Below are 14,962 nucleotides of genomic sequence, written 5' to 3'. Positions count from 1 at the left end.
CTACAACATTAAATGCAGAATCCCTGTTTAGTAGGCCCATGTCAATAAATTCAGCCTGATCTAACTTTATGTCTTTCCACCATTATCCCACACCCTTAATACCATTCCCATTCCTGTTCTCCAGATTTCTGCTTATATAAATTAGAAAACTCAAGCAGTTCTTTTGGCATGTAGCACACTGCCTCGTGGGTCACACTCTGAACCTCACCTTTAGGGGCCTGTCAGGACTTTAGTTATAGGTCTAGAAGCAAACAGGGGTGTTGGGGGTGGGTCTTGAGGAGAATCAACATTGTTTTGCCTGGCAACTGCCTCAGGGGAGGCCATCACTGTTGTGTCAGGAAGTGAAGGGTTTATCTCAAACAAAGGTGGAAAGGCTGGGTTGGGGAGGGGAGGGGAGGTGGTGTGGGTGGGAGGCTGTTTCCCTGGCAAAAAAAGGCTCATCAGAATTTAGGAGCTGAGTGCTTCTGGCCTCATCAGGGTCCTCCCACATGTCCCCATTCCAAGTTGCAGAGTCCCATTTTTTTTCAATCAATGCCGTCACCTTAACAGTAGACACCTGACAAGTCTGTGCATGCATCTTTTATTGCAGGTCAGCCATTCACAGGATAAGAGCTTGTTCTGATTTTCCACAATTTCAGCTCTTTCCCTACAGGAGGTAAGACTCTCACTCAGGGCAATATTAAAAGATTTGAGGGTCAGTATGGGCTTCTGGAGCTGAGAGACAGAATCTCGGAGTTAAATGTTTCCTTTCATCACTTTGGCTAGTGAACTTAGGAGCAACCAACCAACCAACTTCATTATATTCCTTGGTTCCCACATATGGTCAAAGATATTATATATAGAATCACTAAATTCCTTGCCTGTCATGAGTGGTGAATCAGAAGTATCAAATGCATTTATTTTGCTTAACTGTCTAAACAATTCATGCCAAAGACTCTCCGTGTTCTCCATACTAGTAGAAGTAGAGTCCTTAGCATTTTGGGGTCTAGTCATATTAAGCAACCAACTCCAGAAACCCCCAGACCAACTAAAGAACTTCATCCTTAAAATTTTTTTCCTCTAGAACCACTCCTGATACCAAAATCTGTGTTAATCAGGGTTCTCTAGAGGGACAGGACTAATAAGGTGTGTGTGTATATATATACATGATCCATGATGGATCATGTATACAGATCCTCTATGTGTGTGTGTGTGTGTGTGTGTGTGTGTGTGTATACAGGTTTGAACAGTGTGGATCCATTTTTATCTGGATTTTCTTCTGCCTCTGCCATCCCTGAGACAGCAAGACTATTCCCTCCTCCTCCTCGTTCTCCTCCTTCTCAGCCTCCTCAACATGAAGGCAGTGAGGATGAAGACGTTTAGGATGATCCACTTCCAATCTTCCAATTAATCAATAGTAAACATATTTATCTTCCTTATGATTTTTCTTAATAACACTTTCTTTTCTCTACCTTACTTTATTGTAAGAACATAGCATATAATACATGTAACATACAAAATATGTGTAAATCAACTGTTTATGTTATCAGTAATGCTTCTGGTCAACAGTAGGCTTTTAGTAGTTAAGTGTTGGGAAGGCCAAAAGTTACATGTAGATTTTTGACTGCACGGGGGTTTGGTGCCCCTAACCACCAAATTATTCAAGGGTCAACTGTATTTTTGTTGTTTAAGCCACACAGTCTTTGATACTTTATTATGGCAGCTGTGGAGGAAGAGTTAAAATATTATATTTGAACTCAATTGAACGTGGGCACAAACAACGGTCACCAAGTCCCGGCACAGGTTGTGTGAGCTTCTTGAGGCGTTTATCCAGTGCTGTTTTGGAGAAATCTCTATTTCAATCTATTCTCATACTTTAGTTATTGAAGAACAATAGACACTGGCAAAAACAAGTTGATCTTTTTGTGTTCCTTGAGCCCAGTCATGAAGGGCCCTCATGACTGGGCCTCATGCCAAACAACTCGTTACAAAAAGAGCTAGAGTCCCAGACTGTGCCGAAGCTTCATGAGACCTCTCCTCGTCTGCACGGATGAGTGGCCAACTCAGGAGCCAAGGCTGTTGCTTCCCAGTCTGGTGGTGAATCTTCCATATTCTGGTGAGTGTAAATATATATATATATCTGATTTCCCTTCTCCCCTTCCCATTGCAATTTGCTTATTATATTAATTTGCTTATTCTATCATTTGCTTATTATATCTGAATTGCCATTTACTTGGGACAAAGCTTGTTTACCCTTAAAGGTATCGTGTGTGTGTCTTTTCTTCTCCCCTCATGCGTTTCCCGCATAGAACATTTTTGGCGTCACGAACAGGATTTCATAGCAAAAGCATGCCATTTTTTAGCTGCAGGGTCTGGGCTGGGAACTCAGGGTCTTCCCCCATCCTGGGATGGGAACTCCCTCAGTTTTCCTTCTTGGTGATTGAATGGCCCAGGGGAACTGGCTTTTGTGATAATTGGGAATCTAAATCAGTGCGATTTCAACATTTGAGTGCGTGAAGTGCTGCAGGGAATCCCAGTTGGTAAAGGGGATGCTGAGGGAATTTCCCGGCATAGATGGTGCTTGCTTACTGCTTATAATTTAATGTGTCAAGATAGGGACTGGTTGCTTCAAGAGAAATGTAAGCTGGAAAAGGAAAATGCTAATCTGACTTCCAGACTGGCCCTGGCCCAATGCCAGGCCTATGTCTTGACTGATTAGGCTCAAAGCTATCAGCTTATTGCTGAAAAAAGCAGCTATCTGAATGGCATGGTTAGGGTAAAACTGAAGAACTAGTCAGCCAGGGTTTGGAGCAGGTAAAAATCCATCTCCTATCTGAAGGCCAGGAAATTAACCCTAGTAAAATTCAAGGACCTGCACAAACTGTAAAATTCCTTGGCATCCTATGGAATAAAGGAAATAGTCCATTTTAACAAAGGCTAAGGCTAAAATACTAGAATTTGCAACCCCTACCACTAAGAAGGTGGCCCAGAAATTTATTGCCTTGTTTGGATTCTGGAGACATCATAGTCCCACTTGGGTAACATTTTAGAACCTCTGCATGCAGTCACTAGAAAACGCTACGACTTTCACTGGGGAGAGAAAGAGAGCATGGCTTTTGAACAAGCTAAACAAGCAGTGCAACTGGTCTGAAATCTACGGCCCATACAGGATGGGCCAGTAGAACTACAACAACAGGCTAATTGGAGCCTTAGGCAGAAACAAGATGGGAAGAGGGTACCTTTGTGGTTTGGATCTGGAAACTGCCAGAGACCAGCAAAGCTTATACCCCTTTCAAGAATCAACCGTTAGCTTGCTATTGGGCTTCGCTGGAAACGGAGCACCTCTGCTTCAACCATGATGTCTTTATGATTATGATTTGGGTCATGAGTTCCCCCAAAACTCACTGGTTCTGATGAAGGAAACGGTGGGAGCAACCAGCTGGCTGAATTGGTAGCCATCCTCCAAGCTATTCAGGAGGAGGCCAGAGGGATTTGTCACCTGTATACCAACTCTTGGTCAGTAGCAAATGGTCTTACTACTTGGGATGAAACAAATGGTTAATTGGGAATGAAGAGGTTTGGGGAAAACAATACTGGGGAGATGTCTGAATCCTGGCACACACTACCATTAGCGCTGTTTTCCATGTTGATGCTCATGCGTCTCTGCTTATTCTTAACAGACTATTTAATCAGCAAGCAGATCAACAGGCCAAAATTTCCACCGTAACTGCAAATTCGAATGCAGATAAATGGATTACAACATGTTCAAGCCTTGCAATGGGAGGCATTATAATCTATGGTGGTATAATTGATAGTGATTACCAGGGAGAGTTAAAGGTCATTTTATACAATACCACTCCAGATTCTTTTGCTATACAACTGCAGCTGCGGGTTGCTAAATTGTTAGTGGTACCTTGTCAACCACTGAGGAAATTTCTGCCCCAATAGAAACAACATATAGAACTGGAGAATTCGGGTCCACCAGAGAGGGCAACTTATAATCCTGGAGCCAAAATATGGGTACAGTGTCCATCAGATTCTGCCCCTAAGGCTGGTGACCTTGTAGCTATGGGAGCAGAAAATGAAGGCATAGCACAATTTCCTAAAGATGAAAAACAGTATCATGTTCCCCTCTATTTTTATTATTACAGAGAATAACCTGTCTGCTAGTAATCAGTACTTGGGTCATCATGTCTGAGGCCGAGAATGAGTTCATCACTTGGGTAGCCACTGCGACAACAGAAGCCAACTGCAGTCAGTGCTGGCTATGTGTCGAGTTGCCAGAGGCCGCCAGAAATGGGCTACCTTGGAGAATCGTCCTTGCTAACATTTCCGAATGGATATGCCAATACCAATGGGGGTGGGATAATAACCTGGACTTCTTTTAACCAGACCAAACAGTCTATTTTTGCCCAAGCCCAAATGAAACACAGCACCTTTGTTACTTAAATTACACATTACAGCAATACAATTATAGGAGAACTTTTCCTGTTCTCTGGGGAGCCCTCTGGGTATGTGGATTCTATGGGTGGTGATAGCTGCCCCCATACTGGAGGGGGAGATGCACTTGGGGGAGGCCATTAATTTCATTCACCATCCGGGATGATTTTCCCCTCCCCAGTAATCTAAATGCTTACAAACATCACTGGTTACAAATGCACCGGGCCCTCTGGTGGTGGTACCCTATCACAGTGTTCGCCCCTGCCGCTGGTACGATCCTGCTACAGAAATAAAATATTAAGCTTACATGTAAAATAAAGCTCTTAATGACAGTGGTACTGAACTTATGTTGTTATCAGATAAATTTGCTCAACTGCGTACTGTTGTATTGAAAAATGGAATGGCATTAGCCCTTTGTCAGATGAGTAGATTGCAAAAATTTTTTCCCATTCTGTAGGTTGCCCGTTCACTCTGATGATAGTTTCTTCTGCTGTGCAGAAGCTCTTTAGTTTAATTAGATCCCATTTGTCAATTTTGGCTTTTGTTGCCATTGCTTTTGGTGTTTTAGACATGAAGTCCTTGCCCATGCCTATGTCCTGAATGATAATGCCTAGGTTTTCTTCTAGGGTTTTTATGATTTTAGGTCTAACATTTAAGTCTTTAATCCATCTTGAATTAATTTTTGTATAAGGTGTACAAAGACCTCAAACAAATTTACAAGAAAAAAACAAACAACCCCATCAAAAAGTGGGCAAAGGATATGAACAGACACTTCTCAAAAGAAGACATTTATGCAGCCAACAGACACATGAAAAAATGCTCATCATCACTGGCCATTAGAGAAATGCAAATCAAAACCACAATGAGATGCCATCTCACACCAGTTAGAATGGCGATCATTAAAAAGTCAGGAAACAACATGTGCTGGAGAGGACGTGGAGAAATAGGAACACTTCTACACTGTTGGTGGGACAGTAAACTAGTTCAACCATTGTAGAAGACAGTGTGGCAATTCCTCAGGGATCTAGAACTAGAAATACCATTTGACCCAGCCATCCCATTACTGGGTATATACCCAAAGGATTATAAATCATGCTGCTGTAAAGACACATGCACACGTATGTTTATTGCAGTGCTATTCACAATAGCAGACTTGGAACCAACCCAAATGTCCATCAATGATAGACTGGATTAAGAAAATGTGGCACATGTACACCATGGAATACTATGCAGCCATAAAAAAGAATGAGTTCATGTCCCTTGTAGGGACATGGATGAAGCTGGAAACCATCATTCTCAGCAAACTGTTGTAAGGACAAAAAACCAAACACCACAAGTTCTCACTTATAGGTGGGAATTGAACAATGAGAACACTTGGACACAGGAAGGGGAACATCATACACCGTGGCCTGTTGTGGGATGGGGGGAAGGGAGAGGGATAGCATTAGGAGATATACGTAATGTAAATGACAAGTTAATGGGTGCAACACACCAACATGGCACATTAACAAACCTGCATGTTGTGCACATGTACCCTAGAATTTAAAGTATAATAATAATAAAAAATTTACTTGGAAAAAAAAGAAAAACGGAATGGCATTAGATACGCCCAATGAGCGGTCTGGGCTTTACTGCATATTGAATGTTATGTGTATGTCCATGACAATTCTCACAATATGACTCTCCTTGCAAAGCCATGGTGGGTGTGGTTTTTATTAGTTGTGCTTTTAATTCTCCTGTATCTGTAATCTATATCAACTGTGTCTTTCCCATGTATCTGTAAGGGTATTTTCCTACAATTGAGTATCAATTTGAGGCCAAATGTGGAGGAAAAGTTAAATATTAAATGTGAACTCAATTGAACATGGCCACAAACAATGGTCACCAAGTCCTGGAACAGGCTGTGTGAGCTCCTTGAGGCCTTCATCCAGTGCTGTTTTGGAGAAATGTCTATTTTAATCTATTCCTATATGTTAGTTATTGAAAAACAATAGACAATCGTAAAAACAAGTTGACCTTTTTGTGTTCCTTGAGCCTTGTCGTGAAGGGCCCTCGTGACTGGGCCTTATGTCAAACAACTCATTACAGAAAGAGCTAGAGTCCCAGACTGCACCGAAGCTTCATGAGACCTCTCCTCATCTGTGCACGTTTGAGTGGCTGACTCTGGAGCCCAGGCTGTTGCTTCCCAGTCTGGTGGTGAATCCTCCATGGTCTGGTGAGTATAACTATATATATATATATCTTTTCCCTTCTCTCCTTCCCATTGCAATTGGCTTGTTATATTAATTTGTTTATTATATCATTTGCTTATTATATCTGCATTGTCATTTATGTGGGACAAAGCTTGTTTACCCTTAAAGGTATTGTGGGTGTGTCTTTTCTTCTCCCCTCACGCATTTCCCACACAGAACAGCAGCCTGAGCGAACTACTGCAAGGAATTCAATTTGTTTCATATTGAACATGTATTGAGTAGAGAGTACAAAGATTGAAGAGTCCCAGTCCTTGAGGAGCTAAAGGCTTACTAGGAACCCAAGAATGTCTCTAAAATGGAATCCACACAGAGAGAGAGATTTGGACTTAAAAAAGGGGGTAACTTTCTCTTAGAGGAGTCCCCAAAATATATTTATTGGGTTTCCTTGGCTTAAAGATTTTTCTGATGAAATATAATTCAAGGGTATCTAGACTAGATAATCCTTATGGGTGATGTTGATGAAAACATTCTGACACTCAGCAGTTGTTTAGACTAGATAATCTTCAAAGGTTCATGTAATTTTCACCTTTTATCTCTGCTCTTTGTACCTTAAGCTTTAAATGTATATTTTTAAATGCAATCATGCATTGCTTAATAACAGGGATATGTTCTGAGAAACTCATCATGAGGCAATTTTGTCATTGTGCAAACATCAGAGTTTACTCACACAAACCTAGATGTTACAGCCTACTACACACCTAAGCTGTGGTATAGCCTATTTGTCCTCAGCTACAAATCTGTACAGCATATTGCTGTACCGAATACTGTAGCAATTGGAACACAATGGGAAGTGTGCGTGTATCTAAGCAGATCTAAACATAGAAAAGGTACAGTAAAAATATGGTATATAAGATAAAAAATGGCATACTTGTATAGGGTACTTACCGTGAATGGAGCTTGCAGGACTGAACTTGCTCTGGGTCAGTGAGTGGTGGGTGATGAATGAATTTGAACACCTAGGACATTACCATATACTACTGTAGACGTTATAAACACTATACACTTAGGCTACACTAAATTTAATTGAACATGTTTTCTTTCTTTAACAATAAAGTAACCTTAGCTTATGGTAACATTTTTATTTTATGAATTTTTAAATTTTCCAAAGCTTTTTGACACTTATAATAATACAACTTAAAACACAAACACATTGTACAGCTATACAAAAATATTTTCCCTTTATACCCTCATTCTAGAAGCTTTTTTCTATTTCTAACTTTTAAAGTTTTTCTGTAACTTTCAAACTTTTTTTGTTAAAAACTTAGACAAGCACAGCATTAGCCTAGGCCACATCAGGATCATCAATATCACTGTCTTTCACCTCCACATTTTGTCCCACTGGAAGGTCTTCAGGGGGCAATAACACTCATTGAGCTGTCACCTCCTAGGATAACAATCTCTTCTTCTGGAATACCTCCTGAAATACCTTCCTGAAGCTATTTTTTGGTTAACTTGAAGAAATTAAGCAGAAGGAGTATACTCTAAAATAATGGCAAATCATTATATTTGAATAATGGTAAATATATAAACCAATAACATAGTTGTTATAATTATCAAGTATTACGTACTGTATGTAATTGTATGTGCTATACTTTTATACAGCTAGCAGCCGTATAATAAGCCGTAGGTTTGTTTACACCAGCATCACCACAAACATGGGAATAATGCATTATGCTACAACACTACTGTATTAGTTCATTCTTGCACTGCTATAAAGAAATACCTGAGACTGAGTAATTTATAAAGAAAAAAGGTTTCATTGGCTCACAGTTCCACAGGCTGTATAGGAAGCATGGCTAGAGAGTCCTCAGGAAACTTACAGTTATGGCAGAAGGTGAAGGAGAAGCAGGCAGGAGCTGGAATCATGGTCAGAGGAAGAAGAGAGCAAAGGGTGAAGCAATGCACACTTTTAAACAACCAGAGCGCATGAGAACTCACTCAGCATCCTGAGAGTAGCAAGGGGGAAATCCACCCTATGATCCAGTCACCTCCTACCAGGCCTCTTTTCCAACATTGAGTATTACAAATTGACATGATATTTGGGTGAGGACACAAATTCAAACCATATCAAGTACCATGGCTCTGACATCACTAGGCAATAGGAAATTTTCAGCTCCATTATAATCTTACAGGGCCACCTTCATATATGTGATACAGTCTTTCTGCTCCTTAGCTCAGCTAGGTTTGAGTTCTTGTCTCATGACCAGAAGAATTAGGCTCATGGACGCGGGAGTGTGAGTGAAGAAAAGTTTATTAAGCAAAAGGAAAACTCTCATTGGAGAGGGGATACAGTTGGGGAAGGGTGGTTCCCCTATCCAAAGCCAGGGAAATCCACCCCCCCCCCCCCCCGGTGTGTGGCTGGGCCTAGGGCACTTAATGGATGCAGAATGGGGAGTGCCTGCTGATTGGTTTGTGAGTATGTAAAAAAGGTTAAAGCAAAGACACCACTCCAAGGTGGGCATACAGTATAGAAAACCAATTAGGAAAGAGTAGATATATGTACAATAGGTGAAGGGAGGGGATCAATCAGAGGAAAGCATGCCAAACAGGAAGACAAGTTTTCAATCCGGTCTGAGGATTTAGCTTGTAGCTTGTTTTTCAAGACTTTAAACTGTCTTTGGCTTGGAGGTAGGGTTTCACCAGAGACCCTCTCCAATCTGCCTAGGTGTTTGGCTGCCTCCTGTCCCTATAATTTGCAGTCTGCTGTTGACTGAAACATCATTATGCAGGTCATAACTGTAGTTTTATTATAATTACAAAGAAGTTGCAAGGATAGTATAGAGAGTTCCTATATACATACCTCCAGATTTCCCTTGTCTTTAAAAAAATTATGTATTTATTCTAGAAACAGGGTCTCACTCTGTCACCCAGGCTGGAGTACAGTGGCATAATCTCAGCTAATTGTACCCTTGAACTCCCAGGATCAAGCAATCCTTCTGCCTTAGCCTCCTGAGTAGTTGGGACTACAGGCATGCACCACCATGCCTGAGTATTTTTTTCATTTTTAAATAAAGATTGGGTCTTGCTACATTGCCCAGACTGGTCTCAAACTCCTGGCCTCAAGGCATTCCTCATGTTTTGGCTTCTTAGAGTGCTGGGGTTACAGGCATGAGCCACCATGCATGGCCCTTTTCCCTTTTGTTAATATCTTACATTTGTCACAACTGATGAACCAATATTCACTTGAGCTTTGGGACCTATTTATTTTAGAAAAAACTGCAACTTTATTTTGTTTTCAGTTTAATCACACTGATGTGTTTCCTTGCTTTGAAAGTAATCATCAAAAATACACATGCTGGATGGTTCTTTTAACAAGAAATTTGGTTGGGACTTTGAGTAAAAATGTTGCAAGGAAAAAGCAAAAACTTACCCCCTCCCCCGAAATATCACACAAATGGGTGAAACAAAAGCTTTAAAATCTTGAGAAGTGTAAGATATTCCAAAATGGAGACTGTATAGGCAACAAAAGCTTTAAAATCTTGAGAAGTGTTAGGTATCTCTAAATGGAGACTGTGTAGGCTCTGATATATGAATTCTGATATATGTCTGAGAAAGAAAAGTAAAATACAGCTGCTTCTGGAGCTCTTTTATAAGAATGTAACTAGACTGAACTTATGTTAAAGCAGAAGGCAGAGAGTGGTTCTACTCTTTTGTTGTTGTTGTTAAAATACATAGTCTTAAAGGCAAAGACAAGATTTTATTTTGTTTTCTTTGCATTTAGGATAACAGATTCTCTCATACTTTTTAACGTAGCTGAAATATGGATATTCTTTCTGATTGACTTCAGAAGCTTCCTACACCATACTTTTGGGTTGAAGATGTTTGACCTTGAATGCTTTTGGGTTTCCTGTGTGGACTCCAGTTCCCAGTGCTGCAGATTACTTAAGAGTTCGTATCTGTGCACTGGTTATCCGAGGTACCTTAGAGATCAGAGGTGCTTACCGCAGAAGCATAAGAGTAACTAACTCTTTCAATTAGCACTGTACTGTTTATGAATTAAAAATGTTTCAGATTAAAAATCATGCAATGAAGGATGTAAAGAAAAAATATATCATCATGCTATTTATCCCTTTTTCCTAGAAAATTAAATTATCCCTGAAAGAAGTAATTGGAAAAAAAATAATCAGTTGTCTCTATACAGGTCTTGGTGTGTTGACAATTTATTTTTTTATGACAGTTTATTCCTACCTAAAAAAATCTAATTTGTGAAATTCCAGACTTTCCAAGAACACTATAAATGTCTTTCTTTTGCACCTTAAACTGCAACTGCAACAAGTGGATTTTGATGAAACTCTATCTGTATCACAAAAGAACCAACAGAGTAACATTAACTAAGCTTGTGCAACCCACACAGAAGGGAGAATGAAGGGGAGTCGTATGTTTAAATAGCAGCATCATTGTGGGCATTGGATTATGTGACACATGCTAAAAACTGTCAAACCTGCCATTTTTGGAAACTGTTTTAGACATCACTCCATTTGGCAGCCCTGCTCTTCCTGTGAAAAGGGAAGGCTGCCTCTATCATCCTCACTGGGTCATAACAAAGATGATATCCATCCCCATCTGTCGCAGCTGGATATGGTCAACATATTCACCAAGTTGGAGGAAAAACAAGTTTTTAATTCCACGCAGATATGTATAGTACCTAATAAAAATATGAGTAACCAAAGATATAGAGGTATAATTGATGAAGATCTTTATGAACAATTACAAATAGTCTAAAAATATTAAAATTAGCACAGTGTACCACATGCCGGAATTGACATTCACATTTGTGAGGCAAGATAAGAATCAGTAGATCCCATTAAGCCAAGTCAAATAAATGAGGAGTCGTGCAATAAGAGGACAAAAACATTACCCCCACCTCATCTACGCTAAAGCTTCTTTAGTCATTCTGTGAAGAGGAATGAGAAATTAACAGCTCCTAAGAGTTTGCTGTATACATGTTTGTTTACATTAACTGTTGAGTAAATAATAAATATTTTATTCTACATTCCAGGTTGAGTCCTTTTCAACTAGTTTTTGTGTTGTTTTTTGAAACCTCAAGTCACTGACTCCTTCAGCAGTGGTTTAAGGAAGTATCTTAATTTTTAAATCACATGTTGACCATGCAGCCAATTGTTGGCCCGTAGAGTGAACAAAACCAGGTAAGTGGCCTTCTTTCCAAGCGCTATCTGAGCAAAGCATGCATGTCAAAAACAGCCACACATTTCTCTGACTTCATGTGCCTCTGATCTGTATTTTCTGAAGTATGAGGGGCTAACCATCTGCATCAGAATTCCCACAGGGATTATTTAAAATACAGATTGGGACTGGATAAAGAAAATGTGGTGCATATATAGCATGGAATACTACACAGCCATGAAAAAGAAGGAAATCACGTCTTTTGCAGCAACATGGATGCAGCTGGAGGACATTATCCTAAGCAAATGAATGAAGGAACAGAAAACCAAATAATGCATGTTCTCATTTATAAATGGGAACTAAACATTGAGTACACATGGACATAAAGATGGGAACAATAGACACTGGTGGCTACTAGATAAGGGAGTGTTGGGGTGGGGCAAGGATTGAAAAACTACCTGTTGGGTACTATACTCACTATCTGAATGACGTGATCATTCATATCTCAAACTTAGCGTCATGTGGTTTACCCAGGTAGCAAACTTGCACATGCATCCACTGAACCTAAAATAAAATTTAAAAGAAAAAGTCATCAAAATGTTATTCCTATCAATAAAATACCAAAATATCACACACACACACACAAACACACATATATACACACCCACACACACACACATATATATATATATTTCAGACTTTGGGGTCCTTTCCAGACCTAATGAATCAGAAGCCCTGGAGGTGTCTCAGAATCTACATTTTAAAGATGTAACTAGCTCCTTTGAATGAACGAACTAGAGATTGATAACTATTGCTTTAGATACTGCCGAGATAAGGGAGGAATTAATTCTGTATAGAAAGTCTATGGGAAACCAAAGGTAATTACTAGTTTGTTATTTTTCCTCTGTAACATTTCTATTTGTGTCCATAGATGATTCTCTCTGGAAGATTTTATTTGGATGTTCAGAATATTTATAGCAAGTTTACAGAGATAGCTATCATTACGTACCTGAGAATTCATATGAAATAAATATGCTATATATCTGTAGATGATTTTCAGATTACTCAAGCAATGTATAAAGCACTTATTTAAAAACTTAATTGAAATCATACAACTGAGACAAATCTATTTCGGCAATTCCACGTTTCTTCAGATATCTAACGACCACCTACATATTTTCATAGCAAGTTATATGCAGTTTTGTAAATCATCAATATAAATCAGGGCAATTAACTAGTTACTGAGCATCACTCTGCTGAGAGTCTAACAGAAAATATTCTCAATATGATTTCATTCTCACTAGACATTGGTAATTCTGCTTTGGTAGCTGGGCCAGTACAGGAGCCAAGGAATCTTGATTTTTAATTCCCTGACTTACATGAAATAATCTTTCTCTACAAGGTAATCTTATCAAAATAATATTTATATTTGAAATAATACCCAGAAGTGTTGTTGTTATTGTTTTAATTAGGAGAAATAGCAATTCAGCAAAACTAAGAACATTACATCTTTAAAATGTGGAGTAGTGATCAAGAGTGTAGAATTGGAACTGGACAGCTTAGACTCAAAATTCTCGTTTCGCCAGTGTCACCTTGGCCAAAATACTTAACTTCTCTGCGCTTTGGTTTTCTTATCTGTAGAATGATAAAAATAATTGCACCTTTCTCATTGGGCTGTTGTGATGATTACATAAGTTACATGTTTGAAAACAAAAGTTAAGTGTTTAAAGCCCACATAGTAAGCACTAAATAGAGTGAAACCATTTTATTATTATTAATCTGTTTAATAACCTGGCAAGGGTATGTCTCAGGCCATTAATGTTTGTTTTCTATGTATCTTCCTACCCTTTTTTTTCCCTCTCACTAGTATCTTGAGAGTTTTTTGCCTACTTCAGCCACACCAATGCTGAAAAAAAGATTCAAAGAAATTATTGACTTAAATGCTAAACAGATTTTTGGGTCATGTTTTGTTTTGTTTCTTTTCCCATAGACCACAAGATTGAGGGCTTGGAGCTGGAGAAAGGGAAAAGAAAAAGCAGACTGTGACTCTCTGGGGAAAGAACTGAAAGATGACACTAGGAATTCTCAAAGCGAGAGGAAAAGGAAAGGCCCTTTTTCGGAAATGACCTCTGATAAACACACCCTCCAGGGTTACACCTGCCACTGTGTCTTCCACGGACAGACAAGCTGCACTTTAGCAGTCCTGAATACCTAGAGACTTCCTTAACAGAGAGTGGGGAATCTCGTCATCTTGCATGGGGATGGGAGCTCGAAGGGAGAACCTCAGCCTTCCAGAAGGTTATATAAAACCAGTTGAGAATTTCCCTAAGAATGGAGCAGTGGACAAACAATTGTTATTGTAATCCAAATACATGAGTCTACCTACATAATGGAGAAATGCTAACTTACAGAAAGGTCAGGTTGGTGTTTGAATGGTTTTAATTTCCTTTTATAAAATTACAGGAATTATACAATTACATTGATTAATTGTAATCAGTTTTGAGTCTAGCTAAAAAAAAAAAAAAAATCCGTTCCTTCTCAAATTCTTTCCTCCTGCATTTTAAATCTCTCTCTCTCTCTCTTTTTTTCTGAGACAGGGTCTCACTTTATTACCCAGGCTGGAGTGCAGTGGCACGATCTTGGATTACTGCAACCTCTGCCTCCTGGGCTCAACTGATCCTCATGCCTCAGCCTCCCAAGTAGCTGAGAGTACAGGCGCAAGCTACCGGGCTTGGCTAATTTTTGTATTTTTTGTGAAGATGGGATTTCACCATGTTTCTCAGGCTGGTATTGAACTCTTGAGCTCAGGCAATCCACCTGCCTCAGCCCTTCCAAATTGCTAGGATTACAAATGTGAACCACTGCACCTGACCTAAATATCTCTCTTAAATGAATCATTTCCCTCTATCCCTTAACAAAAAATAACTTTTTAAAAATCTTGAAAATTACTTCCTCTTGACAAAACCTCCTCAATCTCATACACCAGCTTCCATGTCTCTCATAACTTATTTGTACCCTGAGCAACTAGTATACCACTCCTAGTTTTATATTTTCACTATTCTCTCATCTATCTTTCTATCATAATATATTTGTATAGTAAATAAGTATAGTATATTTGGAAAATCGCATTTCCCAAAATAACCAATAACTTACTTGTACAGGTCTCT

At 39.3% G+C, this 14,962-nt stretch overlaps 1 long non-coding RNA gene across 1 annotated transcript; it reads left to right on the top strand.

Annotated features, from left to right (window-relative positions):
- The first annotated feature begins 2,008 nt into the window (after nucleotides 1–2,008).
- Nucleotides 2,009–14,321, top strand: LOC100505912 (uncharacterized). The gene is made up of 4 exons (NR_037877.1): nucleotides 2,009–2,095; nucleotides 6,508–6,634; nucleotides 11,671–11,818; nucleotides 13,786–14,321. It is a non-coding gene; the product is annotated as an uncharacterized LOC100505912 (long non-coding RNA).
- Nucleotides 14,322–14,962: the final 641 nt, after the last annotated feature.

The sequence above is a fragment of the Homo sapiens genome, chromosome 4, assembly GCF_000001405.40.
Source record: "Homo sapiens chromosome 4, GRCh38.p14 Primary Assembly".
NCBI lineage: Eukaryota > Metazoa > Chordata > Mammalia > Primates > Hominidae > Homo > Homo sapiens.
The sequence above is the reverse complement of the archived record's forward strand: the minus strand, read 5'-3'. Positions and strand labels throughout refer to the sequence as shown.